The 6,432-nt window shown below is 43.4% G+C and overlaps 2 annotated features.

Moving 5' to 3' along the window:
* Positions 1,314 to 1,940: an enhancer, noted in NCBI's record as "H3K27ac-H3K4me1 hESC enhancer chr11:101880742-101881368 (GRCh37/hg19 assembly coordinates)". NCBI's record gives its function as "activates a minimal SCP1, AML or CMV promoter by ChIP-STARR-seq in naive H9 embryonic stem cells {active_cell/tissue: H9 hESC(naive)}" and the evidence as "EXISTENCE:reporter gene assay evidence [ECO:0000049][PMID:30033119]".
* Positions 2,226 to 3,425: an enhancer, noted in NCBI's record as "MED14-independent group 3 enhancer chr11:101881654-101882853 (GRCh37/hg19 assembly coordinates)". NCBI's record gives its function as "activates an origin of replication core promoter dependent on BRD2, BRD4, P300/CBP and CDK7 cofactors, and independent of MED14, by STARR-seq in HCT116 cells {active_cell/tissue: HCT116}" and the evidence as "EXISTENCE:reporter gene assay evidence [ECO:0000049][PMID:35650434]".

Below are 6,432 nucleotides of genomic sequence, written 5' to 3' on the forward strand. Positions count from 1 at the left end.
TATTTAATGAATTAAAGAAATAACAATGATTCGTTGCTAAGTGGAAAGAGAGGGACCTGGAGCTATACTTAGAGTGTCTCAACCATGGGAGGAAATAAACACATCAAGAAAGAAAAGCCAGGAAATTAATGCAATCAAATATCAGGAGTGGTTTCTCTGCAATCAGATTCCAGGTGATTTTCATTTTTTCTTAATACTTTTTTTTTATATTTTTCACACTATCTACATTGTGCATGTGTAACTTCAGAGAAGTCCAAAAAAATTAAAAGCAAATGAAATTGTCTCCTTTGATAAAAGTGTACACATGAAAGAGAAAGAATGCCCCTCAAAGTCTGCCTTTCCAGATGTCCTGTGTAGCTGAATTACAGACCCTGTAACAGATTTTCTATACTGGAGGATGAGTTTGCTTGTCACAAAAGCATCTTCCAGGGTATTCCTTATCTACAAATATTCGTAAAAGGAGGCCTGGACCTTCAGAATCAGAAGATGAGTAGGTATAATTTTGTGTTATCTCCTGTATATAAGTATCAGTCAAAACAAACTCTCCAAGAACTTTATCTTGGAAAGGTTACATCAGTCTGAGTTTTGTTCCATTGGATGGCCCTTTTTTTTTTTAATTTTTTTAAAGAGATGGGGTCTTGCCATGTTGCCCAGGCTAGTCTCAAACTCCTGGGCTCAAGCAATCTTCCTGCCATCCAGGCCAGGCACAGTGGCACTTTTGACTGCAAAGTATGAAAGCACTAAGAGTATTGCTCTACAGAATGGTAAATATGATATGCAATTTTAAATTAATTTATATTAAAAGGTTGCCAAAGTTATCAATGTTGCTTATATTTCCTAAAATGGATTATGACCTAAACAATATTTATGAACACCTAAAACTCATTAAAAATCTCTTTTCCATTTTTAATATTTTATCCTCATATTTTATTGTATATGCAGTCGTTGTCATAATGCCTTTCTTCCAGAGATTTTTTACAATGCCTTTTTTTAAAGATTAAGTAGAAAACTTTCCAAGAATTTCAAATAATTTTAAAGAAAGAAATTTATACATCAGCCACTCCATCTAACTCTTCATATTAAAGATGAAATCCAAGTACTTTTTAAATGACATTAGTTAAAGCTTCCAATGTCCACGGAAATAAAACTAGTATTTTGCCTTTTTGGTTTCTCCAGCCCAGCAAAGAAAGAATGAAAAAAATATTTGCAGAAAGTGAGAACTTTGTAAGTTACTGCATTGATCAGAAATCAATTCAAAGCTATGTAATACGTATTCACTCAATACAACTTTACTGAGTACCTCTTAAATCATCTCTATGCTTGGGACCAGGGACTCCAATAGAGATCAAATACAATCCCACTAATCAAAACATTTAGCCTATGAGATCTTAAAGACCGGCAAACAGGCAATTACAGCAAAGTGTGAGTGAACACAGATTATAATGAGATTGCCTAGAAGGGCCATCTAATCCAGGACTTGGGCTGTGAAGGCAGGCTTTCTGGAAAATGTGACTACCAAAGTGAGGGCTGAAGGATGGGTTAGACAAGCAAGGATGGAAGAGGATGTAATTTCAGGCATTAGAAACAGCATGTGTCAAACTCAGCCTGCTTTGCCCATACTTCATAAATCTCCAAATCAAACAGGGCTTTCAGGCAAGAGAGCAATTGGAAGCATTATTATACCTCTGCTCTTTCCTGAAGCCCTACTTAAATCACAAGGATTAAAAAGGACAGATAGCAGCCAGGCACGGTGGGTCATGCCTGTAATCTCAGCACTTTGGGAGGCTGAGGCAGACGGATCACCTGAAGTCAGGAGTTTGAGACCAGCCTGGCCAACCTAGTGAAACCCCGTCTCTACTGAAAATACAAAAAAATTATCCAGGCGTGGTGTCAGGCACCTGTAATCCCAGCTACTCGGGAGGCTGAGGCAGGAGATTCGGTTGGACCCGGAAGGCAGAGGTTGCAGTGAGCCGAGATCGCGCCACTGCACGACAGCCTGGGCGACAGAGTGAGACTCTGTCTCAAAAAAACAGAGAAAGAGATACCCTAGATGTCTCAATTGTTGTAAGTAATAATAAAATAAAAGGAGGGAGTACAAGACAAAGAGAAAACAAGGGAAGACAGCGCCAAAACTTGGAAGGTTAGAAAGCAGGTGATGAAGTGGTAACTGATTTAGATAATCAAAGAAAGCTAAAACCTATGCTGGCAGTAGGGGAAGCCTAAAGCAAGCCAGTCTTTCCTGCAAAACCAGAAAGGCCCAGGTTTGAAAGTCATCCGGTAGTTCTGCAAACTGGGGGTAAAGGTAAGACTGAAACAGTAATGATTAGTTGGAAGTCTGTTAGACAAACAGTTAAACCCCAGATCCAAATGTCATGCAAGACAGCTGGACCACTCTCCTTCTTTTGCCAAAGCAGGAACATTTAACTTTAAAACTATGAATAAACGAGAATTTCTTTAACCCATTAGAAGGCATTTAGTGGTTGCTGAGGGCTTGCTGCTGAGATAGTCCCGTCAGGACCTGAGGAGTCTTTCCCCAGCTGACAGGAATGTCGGCGGCTGACAGCTCTCAGCTGAGTCACTCTCCAGGCATTTCCCGCAGGCCAAGAGACTCCTCACACGGGGCCACACCCAGTCCCTGAGGGCCGCCCTTATCCAATGCCTGGTTGATGTGGGGCATGAAGTCCTGGCCCCTTTGCCTCAAGGTAGGTCCGTTTTGAAAGGCACGACTGCACACCAGCAAGAAACGACCAAAAAAAAAAATTTGTAACTTTTTAAAAGATACCATTTACAAAAATAACCAAATTTAAAATGCCAACTCTGAATCTTTAAAAAGATATGCAAGCCTTTTCTGGAAAAAAGATTAAAATATTGAAAGACATTTTAAAAGATTTAAATAAATGGATGTATATACCATATCCTTGGATTTGAAAACTCAATATCATGTCAGTTCCTCCCATTGATATTAAACATTCAATGCAATTCCAACTAAAACACTCAAGGCCTGTTTGTGGAATTTGACAAGATGATCTAAAAATTTATGTGAAAGAGGAAAGAACAAGAATAGCCCAGATACACCTGTGTCCGAAGACTAACGTGGAGGTACTTGCCCTATCAAATAACAAGACTTTTTGTTTTTCTCTCCTTTTTTTGACACAGAATCTTGCTCTGTCACCCACGCTGGAGTGCAGTGGCACTATCTCAGCTCACTGCAACCTCCACCTCCCGGGTTCGAGTGATTTTCCTGCCTCAGCCACCCAAGTAGCTGGGATTATAGGCATGCACCACCACGCCAGGCTAATTTTTGTATTTTTAGTGGAAACAGCATTTTGCCATGTTGGCCAGGCTGGTCTCAAACTTCTGGCCTCAAGTGATCCATCAACCTCAGCCTCCCAAAGTGTTGGGATTACAGGCGTGAGCCATGGCACCCAGCAAAAGCTCTTATAATTAAGATAATGTGGTACTGGCACAAGATACATATAAAAATCAATAAAGTACATATTAAAAATCAAAATACATATAAAAATAAATAAAAACTCTTGCAAATAAACCTGATTTACAGCAAAGCAGGCGTTGTATCAAGCTACAATAGCTATGGTAGTTATGAACACGCACCGCTCAGATTTCCTTTCAAGAGATAACCTGCGCAAAAGAGACTGTTGGCTGACAGCCCCTACCTGCTGTACCTCCTGCATCCACCATGGTGTTCACATCAATGCCTTTCTCCCCGCAGACTGTTCCCAGTGACTGAACATTGTGGAAGACTGTGGAAAATTGTGGGTGTCCCAGAAACAGACAATTCTTAACCAGTGAGGGACTTCTCTGGTGGATAGTCTTTACATATGGGTGCCTCAATAGGCCTGGGCAAGACTTCCTTTTTCAGAGCTACTTCTTCCTTCCCATGCTCTTTTCACATGTGTCAGACACACATCATAACATCATAACCTTTATCCTTCACAGGTGTTTCTTCCCAATAAATCTCATACACCTCTAATTCCATCTTGAGATCTGCTTTTCAGAGGAACTTAACTGACATAGTTGGTACCAGGAACAGTCCAAGAAAGCAGGCTAAAAGGTGGAGATTGGGGATGGAATCACTGAATGGCAAGGAAAACCCCATGCTGAGTGGAGAGTGGGTCACAGATTGTCCCTGGCTCAAGGTAGTGGCTCGACTGCCACTATTTCACAGGTGATGACCTGGGGAAACATTCCCTGAGAAAAACAGGCTTGCCAATTCAAGAATCCAGGCATTTAAAAGATGCAGTGGGACTAACACCTGCAAAGACAGTAGCTAGTTATTACTAAGTTGAATTGAAAACCTTCAGAGTGATGAGAAACTGAGAGCAGTTAACAACTAAAGGTTAAGTATGAGAGCCAGGATGCACTTGCGGTGGTATTGCTTACAAAGAGATCCTTATCACCCTGCAGTGGAAGAGAGCTCAGCTGCGGGGCAATCATAGGACTTAGAATAAGGAGCTGCAGAGGCATTTATCAGGCAAGGCAGATCTGTCACAAAAAGACCAGAGCCCTGAAACATCTGGGTGGGTAGCCCCAAGAATTCCTGGTCACTGGATTCCCAAATCGGTGCCTATCTCTCCTACCATTAGGAGACTGCAGGAACCAACAAGATCTCAGTGATGCTGCTGCCTCTTCCTGCAGATCCTTCTTGCAGATCCTTCAGACCTAGAACTTCCCCAGCTGTATTGGGCTGGGATTTAACACTAGTTATCTGCTTGTCAGCAGACGGAGGGTAACTGTGAGGGGTTTCTGGCTGCCTTGTGGTGGAAAGGCCTCAGTAGGGTCTTCTCAGGTGGAGTAAATGCTAGCTCTTAACAAGGAGTAGTGAGAGAGGGGCACTGATATCACGAAGAACTTCAGTGGTGGCTCTGCTCTGTAGGCCAGGACTGAAGGTATGAGAGGAGATCAAGCCTCCTCTATTACAGAGCTGGGCTCCTTAATTGTAGCGAGCATGATGAGCCCCCAGAGTAAGAGAGACCAGGTAACTGCCAGAAGCCAGGGGCCACAGTTACTCTAAAAACCAGCAAGGTTAAAGAAGCAGCAGAGGGGGCTTGGTTGTCAGGCAGTTGTAGAAATGATGAATATAATTTGGAGTTTCTAGGGTCCAAACAAGTTGGCACCCTACAAGGGTACTACTTAACATCTACAATCAAAACAAGTAAAGAATGGAGGAGTAGGTAGCTTAGGACAGTGGTCCCAATAAAAATTATAATATCTTGCTCAGTTTCCAGACCTGAGCCTTTTTATTTAAGACAGAGTCTTGCTCTGTCGCCCAGGCTGGAGTGCAGTGGCACGATCTCGGCTCACCACAACCTCCACCTCCTGGGTTCAAGTGATTCTCCTGCCTCAGCCTCCTAAGTACCTGGGATTACGGGCACATGCCACCATGCCCGGCTACTTTTTTATATTTTTGATAGACACAAGGTTTCACCATGTTGGCCAGGCTGGTATCAAACTCCTGACCTCAAGTGATTCGCCCACCTCGGCCTCCCAAAGTGCTGGGATTACAGGCATGAGCCACCGCACCCGGCCTGAGCCAATTTTTTTTTTTTTTTTTTGAGACGGAGTCTCACTCTGTCGCCCAGGCTGGAGTGCAGTGGGCGCCATCTCAGCTCACTGCAAGCTCCGCCTCCCGGGTTCACGCCATTCTCTCGCCTCAGCGCCCCCGGAGTAGCTGGGACTACAGGCGCCCGCCACAGCGCCCGGCTAATTTTTTGTATTTTTAGTAGAGACGGGGTTTCACCGTGTTAGCCAGGATGGTCTCGATCTCCTGACCTCGTGATCCACCCGCCTCGGCCTCCTAAAGTGCTGGGATTACAGGCGTGAGCCACTGCGCCCGGCCCCTATTTTTAAACTGAAACCCATTAAATGATAAGATGGCCGGGTCTCCAGGAAGAAGGACCCTGCAATTCCCCCAAGAAATATATACTGCAAAGATTCCCTCAGTCGTTGTCTTAAGGGACCTATGGTCATTTCTGTGGGAATACACTGAGGAAAGGGGAATAACCAAATATTTGAGGACTACTGAAGCGGGATCTTGGGCCATGATGTTCTTAAGCTACTAGACGATACGATCTACTAAAACAAGGGAGTAAACCAAGAAAACAAAGATAAGAAATCTGAGAGGCAAGAGAGCTGCAGTGGCCATGAGAATGCACTTTGCAGCCCTCCAGCTACGGAGCATAACTGATCAAAGACCTTAGCTGAGGTGCTCTGAAACCCATCCCAGCCCAGAGGATAGGTTCTCAAAGGATGCAGAGCAACAAGGAAAAGGCAAAACACAAACAGAAATCCCCAGGGTGACGGTAAAGGAAAAATTCAGCTGTGCGGCAAGCCTACAAAGCAACCAGTCAAGACAAGTACAGAAGGAATGGCCACAAGAAGATAAAATTGATAGGAAATCTACTAAGTTTGAGT

This window comes from Homo sapiens, chromosome 11 (genome assembly GCF_000001405.40).
Source record: "Homo sapiens chromosome 11, GRCh38.p14 Primary Assembly".
NCBI lineage: Eukaryota > Metazoa > Chordata > Mammalia > Primates > Hominidae > Homo > Homo sapiens.